This window comes from Homo sapiens, chromosome 11 (genome assembly GCF_000001405.40).
Source record: "Homo sapiens chromosome 11, GRCh38.p14 Primary Assembly".
NCBI classification, from domain to species: domain Eukaryota; kingdom Metazoa; phylum Chordata; class Mammalia; order Primates; family Hominidae; genus Homo; species Homo sapiens.
Genome location: NC_000011.10, coordinates 13411988 through 13432228, shown reverse-complemented (window position 1 = coordinate 13432228; position 20241 = coordinate 13411988). Strand labels below are relative to the sequence as shown.

General features: G+C 34.7%; 1 protein-coding gene and 1 pseudogene across 15 annotated transcripts in view; one reads left to right on the top strand and one right to left on the bottom strand.

The window, feature by feature from the left end:
- The window catches only part of BTBD10 (BTB domain containing 10), a 75215-nt gene that overhangs the window by 30994 nt on the left and 23980 nt on the right, over positions 1–20241 (top strand). For all 15 annotated transcript variants that reach the window (XM_017018410.2, XM_024448713.2, XM_024448712.2 and 12 more), the window contains 4 exons: positions 10391–10587; positions 12484–12769; positions 14969–15071; positions 18579–18699. In XM_017018410.2, the coding sequence (XP_016873899.1) occupies positions 10434–10587; positions 12484–12769; positions 14969–15071; positions 18579–18699 (664 nt within the window). In that variant the 5' untranslated portion in view covers positions 10391–10433. The remainder of the gene's footprint in view (positions 1–10390; positions 10588–12483; positions 12770–14968; positions 15072–18578; positions 18700–20241) is intronic.
- On the bottom strand, positions 420–565 carry LOC124902846 (uncharacterized; annotated as a pseudogene).

Below are 20241 nucleotides of genomic sequence, written 5' to 3'. Positions count from 1 at the left end.
TTTATAGTTACACCCTCTCTCCAACTCTGACCTCTGGCAACCCCTAATTTGGTTCTGTATCCCTGTAAGTTTGTCATTTTGAGAACATTATATAAGTGGAATCATATAGCATATAAACTTTTGGGTTTGGGTTTTTTCATTCAGCGAAATGCTTTTGGATCCATTCACATTTGTTGCAGATATCAATAGTTTTTTTTTTAATTGCTGAATAATATTCTATGGTATGGCTGTACTACAGTTTACCCATTCAAAAAATGGCTTGGATTTTGTTATAAACTTTGCAGTACTGTTGGATTTTAAAAACTCTGTACGTATTAATTAGTATTATAAACTTTTTCCCCTTGTAGGAGTCTCTAGTTTCATTGAACAAAACAAGGCCCTGATGTTTTTCTTCAGTTCTTAGGAACCTGCCTGCCATTGAAAACTGTTGCTGTAATTAGAATTTTTAAACAAATTAGGTGACAAAATCATATGCAGAAGTTCATACCAGATTTGCATTCTAAAGTTTGATGTGAATAGATATTTGCTTCTACACTTGATCTTAGCCAAAAGGCCAAGAAGCAATAGATATTTGCTTCTGAGAGTGACCATTTTAATAAGATTTAAAAGTTTTTAGAAACTTTACTGCCTGTTGATTCACCTTATGCTTCAAAGCATGATTTTGAAACAAAGTGAAAAGTTGGTATTAAAGAAAACAGAAGCATTATTAAGTCATAAAGCTGCAAAATTTAAAAATGGAAATATTTTCTTTTGTGTTTAAGGTGGATTTGTTTATGTAACTAGAGGTGCTTGGAAGTGATTGATATTCCTTAGTTGAAGAAAATTGTGATCTCAGAGGATCATGATTAAGGGTTCTAATTTGGGCTTTTGTGGTAAGTTTACTGGGTAGTATATGTTGGTTTGTGAAGTTTTCAAGTGGTGATCAGTTGGTGATGGTAGATGTTTTTAATCTGATTGTAGAAGTGCTTTTGGTTTCTTGAGACCATGGACCATATTACAACAAGAGGATGCAAAAATCTATGTAGATTGGTAAGAGAAGGAATTTAGTGCACTCTGCTAAGAAAAGTGTGAAAAGAAAGGACTATTAGAAGAAGAAAGGCATGACTTTTATTACTTAAGTGTAATTAAAATGGCTAAGTAGTTGTTTTCTATTTTGGTATTCTCAGGCAGCTGTGTTTTGGCCAAGAGGTCAATTCTGGTGTACAATTTGCTATATATATATATCTGTGTGTGTGTGTGTGTGTGTGTGTGTGTATGTATCTCCATAAAACCTTACCATAATTAGGATAATGAGCATATACATCACACTCAAAAGCTTCTTTGGTGCCCTTTGTAACCCTTCCCTTTGAACTCCTATACCCCTTTCTTGTGAAACCACCAATATGTTTTCTGTCGCTCTATACAGTACTCTATGTTTCCTAGAATTTTATATAATTTATTTTTTGTGGTGGAGAGAGATCTGGCTTCTTTTATTCAGTGTAATTATTTTGAGATTGATTCATGTCGTAACTTGTGTCAGTAAATCATTCTTTTTTATGTTGAGTAGTATTCCATTGTATGGATATATCGCAAATTGTTTATCCTCTCACTTGTTCATAAACATTTAGGTTTTTTCCAGTTTTGAGCTGTTACAAATAAAGCTGCTAAGAATGTTTGTTTACAAATTTTTTTTATGGATAATGTCTTCATTTCTTTTGGGTAAATACATAATGGAATGGCTGAATCATATGGCTAGAGTATGTTTAATTTCTTAAGAAACAATCTCTTCTCCGAAACAGTTTCTAAAATGGTTGTACCATTTTCCATTCCTACCACAAGTGTATGAGAGTTCCATTTCATACATGTACTCATCAATGCTTGATATAGTCAGTCTTTTTATTTAGCCACTCTAATGTGTAATGATGTAACAGTGTCATTTTAATTTGCATTTCTTTAATGACAAGTGACGCTATCATTTCATGTACTTATTTTTCATCTGCATATCTCAAATTTTTTACCCATTATTTTGAGAGTTCTTTATATAGTTTACATATCAGTCCTCTATCAGATACATGATTTGCAAATATTTTCTCCCAGTCTGAAGCTTGTGTTTTTAGTCTCTATTATTTATTTATTTTTTTGAAACAGTGTCTTGCTTCGTTGCCCAGGCTAGAGTGCAGTAGCATGATGACCATGACTCACTGCAACCTCAAACTTCTGGGCTCAAGCAATACTCCCACCTCAGCCTCTCAAGTAGCCGGAACCACAGATGCCTGCCACCACTCCTGGCTAATTTTTAAAAAATTTTTTTGTAGAAATGGTCTCACTATGTTGCCCAGGCTGGTCTTGAACTCCTGGGCTCAAGCCATCCTCCCACCTCAACCTCGCAAGGTGCTGGGATTACAGGCTTGAATCACTGCGCACAGCCTCTTTTCATTCTCTTAACACTGTTTTTTGAAGATCAAAAGTTTTTAATTTTGATGAAGTTCAGTTGTCGGTTTGCTCTTTTATGCATTAGGCTTTTTATTTCTAGAAGTTCTGTAGTTTTAAGTTTCAGATTTAGGTGTGTGGTCCATTTTGAGTTAACTTTTGCATATGATGGGAACTATTGCACAGAGTTCTTTTTTTTTTTTCTCTAGAATTGCTGAAAGTGAAATACCTATTGTATATTCATTTGTTCCAGCACCATTTGATGAAAAACTCTTTCTTCCCTGAATTGTGTTTGAGCCCTTGTTGAAAATGAGTTGTCCATATATATGTATGTGAGTTCTTTTCTGGAGTCTTCATTCTGATTCATTGATCTATGTGCCTGTCATTATGCCAGTAGCACACTTTACTCATTACTACAGTTTTTTAATATGTCTTGAAATCAGATCATGTTAGTCTTCCAACTGTTCTTTTAAAAAAATTATTTAGGCTATTCTAGGTCATTTGCGTATTCATATGAATTTTGGAATCAGCTTGTCACTCTTGACAAGCAAGCCTACTTGGTTTTCCATTGGGATTATGTTGTATCTAGTAGATGAACTTAGGGAGAAAATTGACTTGTAAAGACGGTAGGTTTCTCCATTTGTTTAGGTCTTCTTAATTTCAGTAATGTTTTATAATTTCCAATGTGTGAGTTTTTCACATCTTTTGTCATATTTATCCCTAAGTATTTCAGGTTTTGCCAATGTGTGAGTTTTTCACATCTTTTGTCATATTTATCCCTAAGTATTTCAGGTTTTGGTGTTATTTGTAAGTAGTGTTTTTAAAATTTCAATTTTAGGTTGCGTATTGTTGGTATATAGAAATAAAGTTCATTTTAAAATACTGATTTTGTATTCTGCAACCTTGCTGAACTCATTGGTTCTAGTAACCTTTTTTTCTTACTAGAGCCTACAATAGATGATCATGTTTTCTGCAAATAAAGACAGTTTTACATCTTAATCAATCTGAATGTCTTTTCTTGCCATATTGCACTGGCTATAATCCTCAGTACATTGTTGAAGAAAAGTGACAGTAGACATTCTTATTTCTGATTCTTATTTCTGATTTTAGATGGAGAGCATTTGGTCTTTGATTACTATTCTTTTTTTATGTATTGCTGGATTTGATGTGTTAAAATTTTGTTTAGAATATTGATATTTGTGTTCTAAGATTTGTGGTTTTATTTTCTTGTAATATTTTTTTCCACTTTCTTTTAGTTCAAAATTTTCTAATTTCCTTTTTGATTTCTTTATTGCTCTGTGAGTTGTTTAGGTAAAGGTATTATTTCATTTCCAAGTGTTTGGGAATTTTCTAGATATTGGTGTCTGGGCAATGTTGGTCTCATAGAATGAGTTGGGAAATACTATCTTCTCATCAATTTTCTGGAAGAGCTGTGTAGGGGTGATATTATTTCTATCTTAAATGCTTGGTAGAATTTGTCAGTGAAGCCATATGAGCCTAGAGTTTTCTTGGAAGGAATGTTTTAAACTACAAATTAAATTTCTTCAGTAAACAGAGCTATTCAACCTTTTCTTAAGTGAGCTTTTTTGTAGGTTTAAATTTGTCCATTCTGAGTTGTTGAATTTATTGGCTTAAAGTTGTTTATAATATTCTTTTATTATTATTTTAGTATCTGTAGCCTCTCTTATTTCTGACATTGGTAGTTTGTATCTTCTCGATTTTTGTCCCAAGCAGTCTGGGTAGAGGTTTAACAATTTTATTGACTGATGTCATTTTTCTTAGACCTTTCTTCTTTTCTAATGTAGGAATTTAATGCCATAATTTGCCCCTAAGTACTGTTACAATGTCATACCATGCCACAAATTATGGTATCTTGGGGTTTTTTCCACTTTCTTTTAGTTCAAACTTTTCTAATTTCCTTTTTGATTTATTTATTGCTCTGTAAGTTGTTTAGGTAAAGATATTATTTAATTTCCAAGTATTTGGGAATTTTCTAGGTATCTCTGTTATTGAATTTTACTTTAATTCCATTGTAATCAGAGAACATACTTTGTATGATTAAATTCTTTTAAGTTTATTGATACTTGTTTTATTGCCCAAAATATGATCTATCTTGAGAAATGTTCTTCTGTGTGCACATGAAAAGCATGAGTTTTCTGCCCTTTTTGGGTGTTTTGTAAATGTCAATGAGATCAAGTCAGTTGATAATGTTATTCAAATCTCATCAATCCCTACTGATTTTCTGTGTAGTTTTTCTGTTAAATATTGTGAGAGAGGTGATGAAATCTCTGATGATAATTGTGGAATTGTCTAGTTCTCATAGTTTTATCAGTTTTTGCTTCCTGTATTTTGAAGCTCTCTCATGAGGCAGAGAAACATTTGGATTGTTATGTGCACTTAATAAATTAACCCCCTTATCTTTATGAAATACATTGGTGATATTCTTTGTTCTGAACTCTGCTTTGTCTGATATTAATATAGCCACTCTTGCTTTCTTTGAACTAGTGCTAGCATAGTGTATCTTTCCTCATTCTTTTATATTGAATCTCTTTGTACCATATAGCATATAGTTGGACCTGGCTTATTATTATTATTATTATTTTAAGACAGGGTCTCCCTCTGTTGCCCAGGCTGTAGTGCAGTGGTGCGATCTCCGCTCACTGCAGCCTTGACCTCCGAGGCTCAAGTGATCCTCCCACCTCAGCCTCCTGAGTAGCTGGGACCACAGGCATGTGCCACCACACCCAGCTAATTTTTGTATTTTTTGTAGAGATGAGGCTTTGCCACGTTGCCAAAGGCTGGTCTCGAACTCCTGGGCTCAAGTGATCTGCCAGGCTGGGGATCTAGCTTTTATATCCAATCTGATAATCTTCACCTTTTATGGTTTAGACAGTTTACATCTAAATGGCTAAGGCTATCTGTATTTAATGTGATTATTGACATGGTTAAGGTTAAGTCTTGTCCTGTTATTTATTTTCCGTTTGTCCCATTTGTTCCTTTTCCTTCTTCCTCCCAACCCCTTTTTTCCTTTGCCTTCTTGGATTAGCCAAATCCTTTTTTATGATTTTATTTTATCTCCTTTTTTGGTATATTAACTGTATTTCTTTTGTTTTCTTATATTAGTGGTTGCTTTAGTATTAACAGTATACATCTTTAACTTATCACAGTATACCTTCAAGTGATGTTATACTGTTTCTTGTGTGGTGTAAAAACCTTACAAAAGTATACTTGCATTTCTTTCTCCCAGACTTTGTGCTACTCTAGTTATATGTATATGTTATAAACCCCATATTATATTATTATCATTATTGTTTAATCTTTTATAGAGATTTAAACAATTAGAAAAAAATTATATTCTTCCATGCAGTTACTTTTTCTAGTAGTCTTCATTTTTTTGTGTAGATTCATATTTTATCTGGCATTAGCTTTTTTTTCTGCCTGAAGGACTCCCTTTTAACTTTTCTTGCAATGCAGGTCTTCTCATGATGAATTCATGTGTCTTTTTTTGCCTGAAAATGTCTGTACTTTCTTATTTTTTTTCGACAAATCAATGCAGATCCTTCTTATTTTTGAAAGATGTTTTTACTGGCTGTGAAAAACCTAGGTTGACAGGGTTTGTTTTCATTTTTTTTCTTTAAAGTGTTTGTAGAGTTTGTTGTGCATATTGAATCTGTGGGTTTGTAATTTTTGCCAAATTTGGAGAAAGTTCAGATATTACTTCCCTTTTTTCCTTCCCACTTCCTTCATGGACTCCATTTACACCTATATTAGGCCACTTGAAATGAACCTGCAGCTTACTCATGCTGTTTATTTTTCTGTTTTCTCTTTTTTATTTTGAATATTTCCTATTGCGTTGTCTTCAAATTTGTTAATCATTTCTTCTATAATGTGTAATCTCCCATTAATTCCATTCGGTGTGCTTTTCTTTTTTAAAGTTATTTTTAATTGACATGTAACATGTAATAATTATACATATTTAGAGGTACTGAGTGATATTTCAATACATGTATACAGTGTGTAGTGAGCAACTCAGGGTGATTAGTATATCACCTCAAACATTTATCATTTTTTAAAAATGTCAGGAACATTCAAAGTTCTCTCTTCTAACCATTTGGTAATATATAATAAGTTATTGTTAACTATAGTCATTTTAAAGGGCCATTTAGTATACTTTTCATCTCACATGTAAACATTTTTATCTCTGGAAGCTTGATTTGCATTTTTTTAATCTGGTATGTCTCTACATTGCTTTTTGGAGGGCTGTGGTTATAGTGACTTTTTAATGTTTTTATTTCTCATTCTAACGTATGTGTCAGTTCACGTTTTATTTCACTTGATGTTTTTTTTCCTCATGGGTTATGTGTTCTCACTTCTTTGCATGCCTGATAATTTTTGATTGGATGCCATACATTGTAAATTTTACCTCATTTGTGTGTTTGATATTTCTTATAAATATTCTTGAGCTTTGCTTTAGGATTTAGCTATAGGGAAACAGTGTGGTCCTTTTGGTCTTGATGTTAAAATTTATTAGGGGAACTGGAACAGTGCTCAGTCTAGTTGTAATTATTTCCCATTTTAGAACCTTCTAATTCTCTTCCCAGTGCCCTATAAATTATTAGGCTTTCCAGTCTGAACCAGTGGGAACAGGACCTATTCCTGACCCTGTATGAGTGCTGGGCACTATTTCCTCTAATCCTTTGAGCTGTTTTTTTTCCCCAGCTTCTTTTCATAGTGTCCTCACATGTGTGACTGGTATCCAGCTCAGTACTCAAGGAGGACTCTGCAAATTTCTGAGGTTTTCTCTCTGTGTTACACTCTCCTCTCTGGTACTTTTCCCTTAGAACTCTAGCCATCTCTTATCCCAATGTCTCAGCTCCATGTCTTTCACTCAGAGTCCACTGGGTTCTGCTTGTGTTTCCCCTTTCTGTGTTTACTTTGCAAATGCTCTCAAGATAGTAATTTGGGACAATTGTTGGGCATATCTCATTCGCTTTCCATTTTTCAATGATTGCTCTCTTTCATTGCCTGATGTGCCGTGTCTTGCAGACTGTTGTTTCCTATATTCCGTTTGGTTTCTTGGGTTGTTTCAGACAAGAGTATGAACTCAGCCCTTGTTATTCTATCTTGGCTGGAAATAGATATTAGGGCTAATCCAGTCTTCATGTCCTTACCTATCCTTAGTTCATGAATTTCAAACTCTTCAATGCAGCCTGAAACAGAGCTTTCCCCTCTGAACTTGCTCATCCTCATTTTCTTTTGTACATATTAACTATTTTTGCCTTTAAAGTGATTTCTTAATCTGAAAGTATTGAATTAAATATAGTAGGACATAATTTGTCTTCCATGACATCTGATTTTGAAGGTCTGATTCAGGGTTCAGTCTATATGGGAATTAAAAGAAAATATGAAAGTGTATTATGACACCTTTTGAATTCGTTTAAAATCTAAGTGGTTTAGAGATGAAGCCAATGTTTTAGCAGTGTCTAGTCTTTCAGCTACAGGGATGTCTGGTGAAAACGCTTTTTTAATTACTCAGTCTGCTTGGCCCTTACTCAAACTGAACATTTAGCTTGTATTTGTCTTACTCGTTGTTGTGCTTGTACCTTGTCCATTAAATTACCAGACTCACATTTAGATAATGTGCTTTCTTATAGTTGAAAATGATGAAAACTTAGCTGCCAGAATAATTTGAAGAGTTATTTTTTCTATATATGATCTTTGTTCTATTTAATGTGGATTCCTTTTTTTCCTACTTTAGAAAACAAGCCAGAAATTCCAGTATTCCTACTCTAATGATTTTTTAAAAACATAAATGCAGTAGGATCTTTTGATCTGTTTGAAAGAAAAGATTATGTTCTATTGATGCAGCTGTCCTCTAATTTTTTTTCACTAGAATGAAGGTGGGAGTAGAATTTTTCTCTGTAGGTTGATGAGAAACAAATAACTGATAAAGGCTGTTAGGTTGCCTTTATTTCCTTAGAAGTAACTTTCAGGATAAATACAAAGTCAACTTTATCTTCTGTCCTGGTATTCTGTTATAGCAAGGTGATGACTGATTTTTATAATGAAAGAAACCACCAAAATAACAAAAAATATTAAAGCTAATAAAATCAACCAAAGAGATGACCCGGAGACACTGAAAGATTTTGTTTTCTGAATCACGAAGATTAGATTTTAACTCGTGTGGTTTTGCTAAAGGAGAGCAGTATAATATTATGAAAGGGGCACTGGAATGACTCAAAAGGCTTAGGTTATAGTGTTATTAGCGTTTCTACTAAATGCTGTGTGACCCTGAGCAAGTCTTGCAGTTTTGAACTTTAACATCCTCATCTGTCATAAACTAAATAAACTAACATTTCATGAGTAATTATGTCGTGCCAGGTACGTTGCTGGTCAGCTTACTTATTATAGTTCATTTAATTCACCTATTCACCTTAGAAAATAAATAGAATCTACATTTTACAAATGAGAAACCTAAGTTTCCAGAATATTAAGGATCATTCAAAATGCCAAGCAATAAGCATTAGAGGACAATTTTACTCTAAAGCCATGAACTTCCTTCTGTTTCTAAAAAGAACTTTAATATTTTTGAACCATATTATATGCTAACAGTAAATTTCCAAATTGCCTTAGGTCTGGCTTTATTATTTTTATTATCATCAGTTTTCTTATTTGCAGTGTACTCTAATTATTGAAATTTTATCTATTTGTCAGGGCCTGGACACTAGTGATACACTAGTGGCTACTCTATAGCAATGTCTTTTTTCTTTGAAATCCTAAAGCATTTATTATCTGATACCCATTTAGTAGTTACATATTTGGGAACTCTTTAGTAGTTTTATATTTGGAAGTTGGGATAACTCTTGAATTGTTTAAAGTTCTGCATGTTTATCTATTATTGCTACACTTAGAAAACAAGCTCCTGAGGAAGCTTCTTTCTGTTGGCATTTAGCATAGCATTGTGCATGTAGTATGTGTAACTTAATACATAATTGTGTTAAAATATTCTGTAAGCTGGACTGTTTTAATCAGCATTCTGAGTTATTCACTTCTGGTGGAGAAGTTTATTATATATAAGATATTTTAAAGTTTTAAAAATTCTGTGACTTTATGTAGTCAGAGTAGGTAGGTTTGTTAGGTTTTTCAGAGAAATGCTTTTCTTTTTCTTTTTTTTTCCTGAGACAGAGTCTTGCTCTGTTGCCCATGCTGGAGTGCAGTGGCGTGATCTCGGCTCACCGCAACCTTCGCCTCCCAGACGATTCTTGTGCCCCAGCCTCCTGAGTAGCTGGGATTATAGGTGTGTGCCACCACACCCAGCTGATTTTTGTGTTTTTAGTAGAGACAGGGTTTTGCCATGTTGGCCAGGCTGGTCTCGAACTCCTGACCTCAAGCGATTCACCCGCATTGGCCTCCCAAAGCGTTGGGATTACAGGTGTGATTCACTGTGCCTGGCTAAGAAATGCTTTTCAGAAAAACTTTAAAAAAAAAATCATAGTGTTTTGAAAAGGCTCAACTGAAAGTTGGTTGATTGAAGTTAGCATGTAGACTTATTTTGTTTGGCAGGGAGACCAATTTCTCTGCCCCATTCCTCAGTTTTTTAAGAGTTCCAAAAGCTCTTGCCTTCTCTTCTTCCCCTACAATGAAGGAAATCAAAAGAACATCTGAATAACATTTAAGATATCTGAGTGATCTACTACTATTATTACTACAACTTCTACTAACTCATATGTTAGTTAACCTTTCTAAGCTTTAGTTTTCTCGTTCATAAAAAACTGAGTTCAAGTATGTGATCTTCAAAGACACGTTATTCCAGAATTTTTAAAGCCTACAAGTTTGAGGTAAATTAGGTTTCAGAATTAGAAAGTAGCATTTGATTTTTGCACTTCAAGATACTAGTTTTTTGTTACTTGGGTGTTTCTTTTAAAATGTTTCCAATCTTATGTTCTGCTTTTATGGTTAATTTTCCTTTCTAACTTATCAGTACTTCCTCGCGTATTGCTAAAGGAGGAGTTGACCACACCAAAATGAGTCTACATGGTGCTAGTGGGGGACATGAGAGATCAAGAGATAGACGAAGGTCAAGTGACAGATCACGAGATTCATCTCATGAAAGAACGGAGTCTCAGCTCACTCCTTGTATTAGAAATGTGACTTCTCCAACACGACAGCACCATGTTGGTATGTAAAATCAACTAACCTTCCTAACAGTTCTTAAAAACATGCATTTACCTTTTTAAAGTAGTAATGACATTGAATTGTGCCTAATACTGCAGAGTAAAATTAGCTGCTTCTATTCAGTTGTTTCTGTTTTAGTTGAGCTTGGTTCTTGGTGTGAAAGAAAAAACAGCTAATTAAATGCAAAGTTAACATGAATTTTTAACCTCTGGGACAGTCTTATAAAATAAGTAATTGAAAAGCCTTTGAAACTGTGATATATAGATTTTCAAAGTTTTCGATTTAATTTTTGTCTTATGAAATATATAGCAATAGTTTGTAGTAAATTATTGATAGGAGTTTAGTTATTATCATGCTAACAAAGGACCTGAAAGGTAGAATAGCCATCATGTTATTTATTCTGATTTTTGGCATTATCTCAAATTTAATAATAAAAATAGATGAAAGGTGTGATGTGTTTTACTTTGTTAGTAACTAGCTCACCTTCCTTCCTACTCAGTATTATAAATGAACATTAGTACCCCAGGTGAACACATATAACTATAAAACACCAGCTGAAGAAGAGGTGCCTTAGCATGTGAGCTTGCTGATTTTTATTTTCCCCTGCAGAAGGGACAAATTAAAACTTTGACTTAGTATATGCAGCAATAGTTTCTGATAATCTGTTGTAAATAAGAATCATTAATATTAGGGTCTAATTATGAGAGAAGTTGTCAATGTTTCAGTTGATCCTTGAAGTCAGACTTGTACTTATAAGCCAGACATCAACAAAAGTATAAATTAGAGTTGACAGTTTGTTACATGCAAAAGTCAGTGTCTGGGAGTAGAATAGCAGGATATAATAAATTATTTTATTAATATTGCTTTAGCAAATTTTGCTTTTGGGATGCTACCAGTATTGTAGAAACAGGCAATAAAAGGGAGGTGTCAGAGTATCTCTGGAGATATGTCAAACCTAATTATACAATCAATAATGCTGTACAGAGTGTTCTAAGTAGTTTGAGTCATAGAGGAATTTGGCAAAAGCTGATGAAAGTGATGAGATGGAGGTACATTTTTAGGTCACCTTTAAAGTTTAGTGATCTAGTCTCTAAATGAAATATATCACAAAATCTTGGTTTTTATTTTTCTTTTGTAGACTATTAGAACATCTTAAGAAAATTTTCTGAATTTTAACAATATTTTCTACCTATGAAAATTACAGACTGTAATTATAGATCATAAAATTTGTAGCAGTGCTTTATTCAACAAACATGAGAAGAAAACAATATATTATAAGCTACTAAAGCCACTTTATTTGGTAGACATAAAAATCATTAAAAAAAAATACTTCTTACTACCCTTAGTGAATTTCTTTCTTTTTTTGTGGGGGAAAGGGGACCTTCTTTTTTTGAGATAAATTGCTGGTTTTAGAATGCCCTTATTAACGTAGTGAGATTCTAAAGATTGTACTTTGTGTTCTCAGAATAGTGTTATCTCTTTTAGTAATTAGGACAGCTTAAATTGGTATTCTTATTAATCTTTTACTGTAATAACTTTCAAAGCATATTTATTTTACTTGTGAGAATATTCGGTTCCTTGGGTTTCTATTTTTAAGTGGAGTAATAACATAAAATTTTCCTTAGTCTTGATGTTAGTTTGGGTTAGCATTAGTCAGCTATACATCTTTTTTAAAAGTCTACAAATAAAGATTTTAGAAAGCATTTTGATGTTTTGGGTTGTATTCCTGGGAACTAAATGAATGTTTATGGTGTTCTGTTAACATCTTATTTGAAATTGAAAAGTAGAAATGCTGTGACTTAAAACAACTTTTATAAATCAAACATTTAAAAAGATATATATAAATCTTGAATTTGTAAAAGAAAATTTGCATAACTTCGTCTAACATCTTTATTTCAGAACGAGAAAAAGATCACAGTTCCTCTCGTCCAAGCAGTCCGCGTCCTCAAAAAGCATCCCCAAATGGTTCCATTAGCAGTGCTGGGAACAGCAGCAGAAACAGTAGTCAGTCAAGTTCAGATGGTAGCTGTAAGACAGCTGGGGAGATGGTGTTTGTATATGAAAATGCAAAAGAAGGAGCTCGGAATATAAGAACGTCAGAACGAGTGACACTAATAGTGGATAACACTAGATTTGTTGTAGACCCATCCATTTTTACTGCACAGCCAAATACAATGTTGGGCAGGTTTGTATTATTGCAGTTATTTGCATTACTAATTATAATGTGCTTTTACTGCCATTATTTTTTTGTTTAAGTTTTACAGTAATTCTCTGTTGAAATGTAACATTTCTGTTTTACAGATGAAAGAACTGAGCTTTGGAGGCTAAATTACTTGTCCCAAGTTAATACAGCTTAGAAAGTGATAGAGTAAGAGCTTGAACTTGGTTTTATTTCTAGTGTTCTTTGCAGTACCAGTAGAAATAGCAAATATATTAGTTATTGAAGTCAGGATACTAAAATATCTTTACAGATTGAGACTGTAAATTGAATCCAACCAGGTGAATTTAGCAATGATAATATGTTTCCTGCACTTGGGTTCCCATTCAATCACAAAATATAAACAATCAGCATTGTTTAAAGGCGGAAAAAAAACCCAATAGGTAGTTTAGCTGTAAAGTCAGCATGAATTGTCAGTTCGATGTAGATACTTTTAAAAAAAAAAAAAAAAAAAAGGAATGTCAACAAGTAGTTAGCAAAATGAAGGAGATAATTGTCATCTTCTGATTTGTGCTGGTCCAGAGTAATAGATCAATTTAAAGTTTGCAGTTATGGGAACCACAGTCTAAGAAGGATATAGACAATATAGACTTGATTTTTCACCATGTCCAAACTGTACCTTTTAATTGCAAAATCAGTATCTTTGTTCACACTACTATCAAATGAAAGGGCATGGGCATGAAATAGAAGTTTACATGAGATAAAAACTTGTACTTTACTAGATTGCATATGTAATGTGTGTATGTGTGATTTATCATTGTCTCAATACAGAATAAATGCTGCCATTGTGATATTGCATACATTTTTGAGTAAATATTTTCCTTCAACATTGACACTATGCTTTATATCATGAAAAAAAATCTTTGAACTATAGGCTTTTTTGTATTTTTAGTATTATAGGGGAGGATTATCGACAGAAATCAGGAATATGACTTGACAGTGTTAATGATACTTTATATTTTTACATAATATATAGAAACAATAAAAAAGTAGATATTTGAAATTTTGGCTGTTATGTTTTCTTAAAAAAACGTTTTAAAGTGTTCATATTGATGTGAAAAGAATAGCTTTCCCCTTTTGTAAAAAGTTTAAATGATGACATTTGATTCCTGAAAGAGTATCTTCTTTTTCTCCTTTTTCAATTAGCAAAGCCTTCTTTTTATGCCGATTGACTAAAGTGTGTCTTTGGGGATGAAAATTAATATTCATGGGAACTGTAAAAAGCAGCTGGCATTTTTTTTTGGAAACTTTGAAAGAAAAAGCTTTGTTGTTCATAGTTTTCTGTGTTACAACAAAAGAGAAAACTATTTGAATTAGGAAACTACTGAGTAGAAAACTTAGTTCAACCGTACCATAGGATCTAGAGGTTCACCTTTCTTTAATCATGATTTTTAAATTTTCTGGAGAGTACTAGAATACATTTTTTATTGTTTAGGACATATTTTGGAAATTGTGTCTTTTCTAAACAGCCACTGTTGAAGGGCCAACAACATGACTTGAAAAAATCATAAAGTCATTTGTATTTTCTTACATAAGAGCTTTTTAAATTTATTTTCTTAAACTTGCCCTTGTCTTATTTCTTCATTCCTGTCTATCCCAGCATTTGATTGCTTGTCTTTCAGTTCTAGGATGCAAGTCTAATAATTTTGAGTAGGATTTGTTACATTTATAGTTAAGATTGTGAAATGTAAAACAACCTGACTTGTCCTGTATCATATCACTTTGTCTCAGTTTAGCTTGCTATTATGTGCTGCATTATGGCATTAACTGTACAATGAAAATAGCAGTTTTAAGGAAAAAGCACAGATAACCTGGTTTCCCTTTTTTTTTCTTCCTGGTAAAATTGGTATTAAAAACTCATCTTTTTCCCTAGACTAATTGGTTGGTGTTGTTTTCTGAGAAGGGGTAGGAAAGCTCTTTAGCTTCTGAATTTTGTCGTTTATTTTATTGTTGCTTACAGGAAATCTATACTAGTGTTCCCTACCATCAAAAAGAAAATGTTTTTAATATTCTTTCTTTTATGATGTTTGCCAGAATAAATTAATGATAAAAATTCTTGAACTAAATTTAATGATATAATTCCTTTTTTCTTTTGTACATGAAATCTATTTTCCCTTTTGAAGGAAGTATTCTATTGACGTATTTCTCAATTATTTACTATCATAGGATGTTTGGATCTGGCCGAGAACATAACTTTACACGACCCAATGAGAAAGGAGAGTATGAGGTGGCAGAGGGAATTGGTTCCACTGTGTTTCGAGCGATTCTGGTGAGTGTTTCTTATGAGTATTGACTTAATCATAAGACGCCTTCTTGGAGGTACTTGGATTAGACGCAGAATTCTATTTGAATATCTCTCTGGAGTTATTCCAGGGTATTGTTTTTCCTTAAATACCATTTAATTCATCTTTATTTTATTTTGTTTATATTTTTATTTTGCAACAGGGTCTTGCTCTTTCACCCAGGCTGGATGGAGTGCAGTGGCACAATCATAGCTCACTGCAGCCTCAACCTCCCGGGCTCAAGCAATCCTCCTGCCACACACCTCCTGAGTAGTTGGGACTACAGGCATGCACCACTATGCCTGGCTAATTTTTTTTGTTTTCATTTTTTATAGAGACGAGGTCTCACAGTGTTACCTAGGCTGTTCTCGAACTCCAGGGCTCAAGCGATCCTCCTGCCTCGGCCTCCCAAAGTGCTGGGATTATAGGCATTGAGCCACCATGCCATGCTCTCATCTTTATTTTAGTACATACAAATAATACAATATAAGCAAATGAATTTTATGACCTTCAGGATGATAGGATAGGGGATTATTAATCTCTTAGGTTTGCATATATTAGGTATTTAGTAACATTTCTGGAGTCATATTTACTTCTCTTTCTCCTAAATACAGTAAATCGATCATTTTTACTATCTGAGAATGAATATGACTACTTGATTCTATTATTTTATTGCACATAACTAGCAGTGTGGAAACTTAGAAACATCTAAAAGTCATCTCCAAAATGTATTTGTTAACATCTTTAGTTTTTTATTGGGTTTTTTTTGTTGTTGTTGTTGTTTTTTGCCCCAGACAGGGTCTCACTGTGTTGCCAAGGCTGCAGTGCAGTAGTGTGATCACGGCTAACTGCAGCCTTGACCTTCTGGGTTTAAGTGATCATCCCACCTCAGCCTCCCTAGTAGCTGGGACCATAGGTGTGTGCCACCACGCCCAGCTAATTTTTTTGTATTTTTAGTAGAGATGAGGTTTCGCCATGTTGCCCAGGCTGATCTTGAACTCCTGAGCTCAAGCAGTCCTCCTGCCTTGGCCTCCCAAAGTGCTAGAATTACAGGTGTGAGCCACTGTGCCCAGCTGACGTCTTTGTTTTAAAACTTTTTTTTGAGGTTTTAACTGTTTTTTTTTTTGAAAAATATTTTATCACACAGAGTCCCTACTTGTAATTTAAATTCAGCGATTTTGGTTCATAAGGCTGGGTGTGGTGGTTCATGCCTATAATCCCAGCACGCTAAGAGACCAAGGCAGGTGGATGGCTTGAGTCCAGGAGTTCAAGACCAGCCTGGGCAACATGGCAAAACCCCATCTCTACCAAAAGAATATTTCCAAAAATTAGCTAGGTGTAGTGGCATACTTGTAGTTCCAGGTACTTGGGATGTGACAGTTACTACAGGATTGAATGAAGGGGGACAAATGCAGAAATGAAAACAAAGACAAGATAAAAGAAAATATTTAGATAATTTACAAACTACGTAACATTCTATAAAAGTACAAAGTGTGATTAAATATAGTGGTCAAGAAAGAAACTGAGTAAATAAACTTTGTTATATATGTCTAAAAAAAAAAAGAAGGGGCAGGGGGCTCCTTGCTTCTAGTGAGCAAAGGCCTTGAGCTTCCACAGCCCTTTGTATTTACTGGGGAGAAGGAGCAGGGAGGAGGTGCTGTTGGTCAGCTGCTTGATTTGTCACAGGTTCACATGATTGCTAACAGGCTTCAGTTGTGCCTGTAGATAATCACAAGAAACACTGCGCCTGGGGCATGACTGCCCTCAGCATTCGTTTTAGGCGGCAGATGCAGTTTGTCAGTTTGCCAACAATCTGCTTTCATGAGAACAGTTTGCTGTTTGCTCATATAGCCTCCAGTGGTATACTGAGTTGGTCACCACCCTCATTCTTTTGGCCTCCAACACTTGGGAGGCTGAGGTGGGAAGATCTTTTGAGCCAGGAGGCGAAGGTTGCAGTGAGCTGAGATCACACCATTGCACTCCAGCCTAGGTAACAAAGTGAGACCCTGTGTCAGAAAAAAAAAAAAAAAAAAAAAAGGTTTGATTGATAGTTTGTGACCGTTTGTGCCACAGCCTGAAAATACCATTTTCTTAAATAGTTTGAGGGAAGGGAGGATGCTGTGATGGAAGACAGATAGGGAAAATAGTTGATCTTGATCAGGTGAGTATTCATACAAGTACCAGAAGATGTTTCACTTCCATTGATGCAGCAACCTTAGAAATTGTGTTACTGGTTACTTTGGTTCGGAACCTCAGGAAAACTTGAGACAGGTCTTTTCTTTTTTTTTTTTTTTTTTTTTCGTTTGAGATGGAGGCTCGCTCCGTCGCCCAGGCTGGAGTGGAGTGGTGTGATCTCGGCTCACTGCAACCTCTGCCTCCTGAGTTCAAGTGATTCTCCTGCCTTAGCCTCTTGAGTAGCTAGGATTACAGGTGTGCACCACCACGCCTGGCTAATTTTTGTATTCTTTTTTTTTTTTATTATTTTTATTTTGAGATGGAGTCTTGCTCTGTCGCCCAGGCTGGAGTGCAGTGGCGCGATCTCGGCTCACTGCAAGCTCCGCCTCCCAGGTTCATGCCATTCTCCTGCCTCAGCCTCCCGAGTAGCTGGGACTACAGGTGCCTGCCACCACACCCGGCTAATTTTTTTGTATTCTTAGTAGAGAAGGTTTCACCGTGTTAGCCAGGCTGGTCTTGAACTTCTGACCTCAGGTGATCTGTCTACCTCGGCCTCCCAAAGTTCTGAGATTATAGGCGTGAGTCATGGTACCTGGCTGAGCCAGGTCTTAATTTTGGGGAAAAAGTGTTTTTTTAGCTGTCCATATTTCCCCTTGTGGAATTGAAAAGAATTTTTATCACTCATCTCTGAAGTAACTTATCTGTGATTCTGGGGTTGTCCTTTAACAACTTACTAAGTGGATTTTGGAAATAATTAATATTGCTTGTCATAATATGGAATCACCAAAGGGTAGTATTAAAAGAAGAATATCTAATGGTATGTCTTATTTTACATATTTTAATACTTGAATATGACTATAATTCTGTACTAAAAACCTCACATTTTGTTAAATTATCTAGGTAGTATTTAAGATAACATATCATTCAATTTCCTTACTTTTTAAAAAAATGTTTAAAACTTTATGATGGTTTCGTAGAAATATAACTTGTAGAAGGAAAATACATATGCATTGGTGTGATGTCATAAAGAAGACATGAATTAGGTAACAGGGAGCCCTATATTCAAATCTTACCTTTGCTTTTAAATAATTTTATGACAGGCTAAGTCGGTGAATTCATTTGGACCTGAATTTTCCTTATAGGTAAAATGAAAAAGTAGTTAGGTGAACGGAGGTCTCATCTAAGTTTAAACTTCCACATTTCAGAGATGTCAGAGTTCTCTACTGTTTCTGAAAATGTTACCAGCCCTTCCTTAATAATAAGTTTTGGCTACCTTATGCTCCAGATATTTTATGCTTTCTTTACTTTTCTTTTTCCAGGATTACTATAAAACAGGAATAATCCGTTGTCCTGATGGCATATCTATTCCTGAACTGAGAGAAGCATGTGACTATCTTTGTATCTCTTTTGAATATAGCACTATTAAATGTAGAGATCTCAGTAAGTATGATGTTTTGTGTGTAAGTGGTTTGTAGAATTAGAATATATTGGAACAAAAAGCCTGAAATTAGTGCTATTTACCTAGTTAGACTTAAAGTATTTAATTCAATTATAAAGCATTCTAGTACCACAAAGATTATTAATGAAAGCTTGCAAAGACCTTGATGATCTCCTTGTGCAATTTTCCAAATATTTTTTCAATTTTAATAATTTTCTTTTTTGACAAACCCAGATTTCCTCCTAGACAGTTTTCTATATTATTTATTTGTTACCAGTTTTATCTCCTAGATTTGGATCCTTGGCTTTGGTCAAGTGTGGTCATTTGGCTGCATTTCTTTGATTACATCATCCAAAAATTTATAATTTTTTGTATTACCACGTGTGATAATATGAGCACTATGGAAAACACAAATAATTCTCAAAAACAATACCTATCATTAAAGATCCTAGATTGAATGTCTAGCCCTCATGTATACATAGGATTAAATGACTTCATCCAAGAACTTCAAATATTGTCTCAAAGCAGTGTGTAGAAGGTTTTAATCCCAACTCTTTGATTGGTATTCTTCTCTCACTACTTCTTCAGCACCCCTACTCCCATTGTTACTTCTTCAGCACCCCTACTCCCATTGTTTCTCCCAACCCTGAGAAAAGATGTGATTATGCACAAAAAAGTCAAAATAGTGTATGAGAAGTATCAAATGTTGACTTAGGTACTTAAGCCAACACTTAAGTGGTTGGAGAAGTTCAGAGGAAGGGGAAGTCATTGTGGGCTAAGGATCGTGGAAGAGTTCAGTGGAAATACGTAGTAAAGAATGAACTAAATGATTTACAAAGAGTAGATAGTATTGTTTTGGGGAATTATTTATATCTTCCATAGTGCCCAGGATATCATCCTACATGGTAATACAAAAAATTCTCAGAGCTGAGGTTTCTGGAGTAAAGATGTAGTAGGTATACTTTGGAAATACAGTAGATCCAATAGATTGTCCAATAGATTGTTAGACAGCCAGAACATACAACTGTACATTTGAACAACGTTGCTGGGTTTTTGTTGTTGTTGTTGTTGTTGTTTTTGAGATGGAGTCTCGCTGTGTCACCCAGGCTGGAGTGCAGTGGTGCAATCTCAGCTCACTGCAACCTCTGCTTCCTGAGTTCAAGGGATTCTCCTGCCTTAGCCTCCCCAGTAGCTGGGGTTACAGGCACCCATCACCACACCTGGCTAATTTTTTTGTTTTAATAGAGACAGGGTTTCACTATGTTGGCCAGGTTGGTCTTGAACTCCTGAGCTCAGATGATGCACCTGCGTCGGTCTCCCAAAGTGCTGGGATTACAGGTGTGAGCCACTGTGCCTGGCCAGAGTTGCTGTTTTTTCACATCTTAAAAAAATGATTTTAGGGGCTGGGTGCAGTGGCTCACACCTGTAATCTCAGCACTTTGGGAGGCAGAGGCGGTCGGATCACCTGAGGTCGGGAGTTCGAGACCAGCCTGACCAACATGGAGAAACCTCTTCTCTACTAAAAATACAAAATTAGCCAGGCG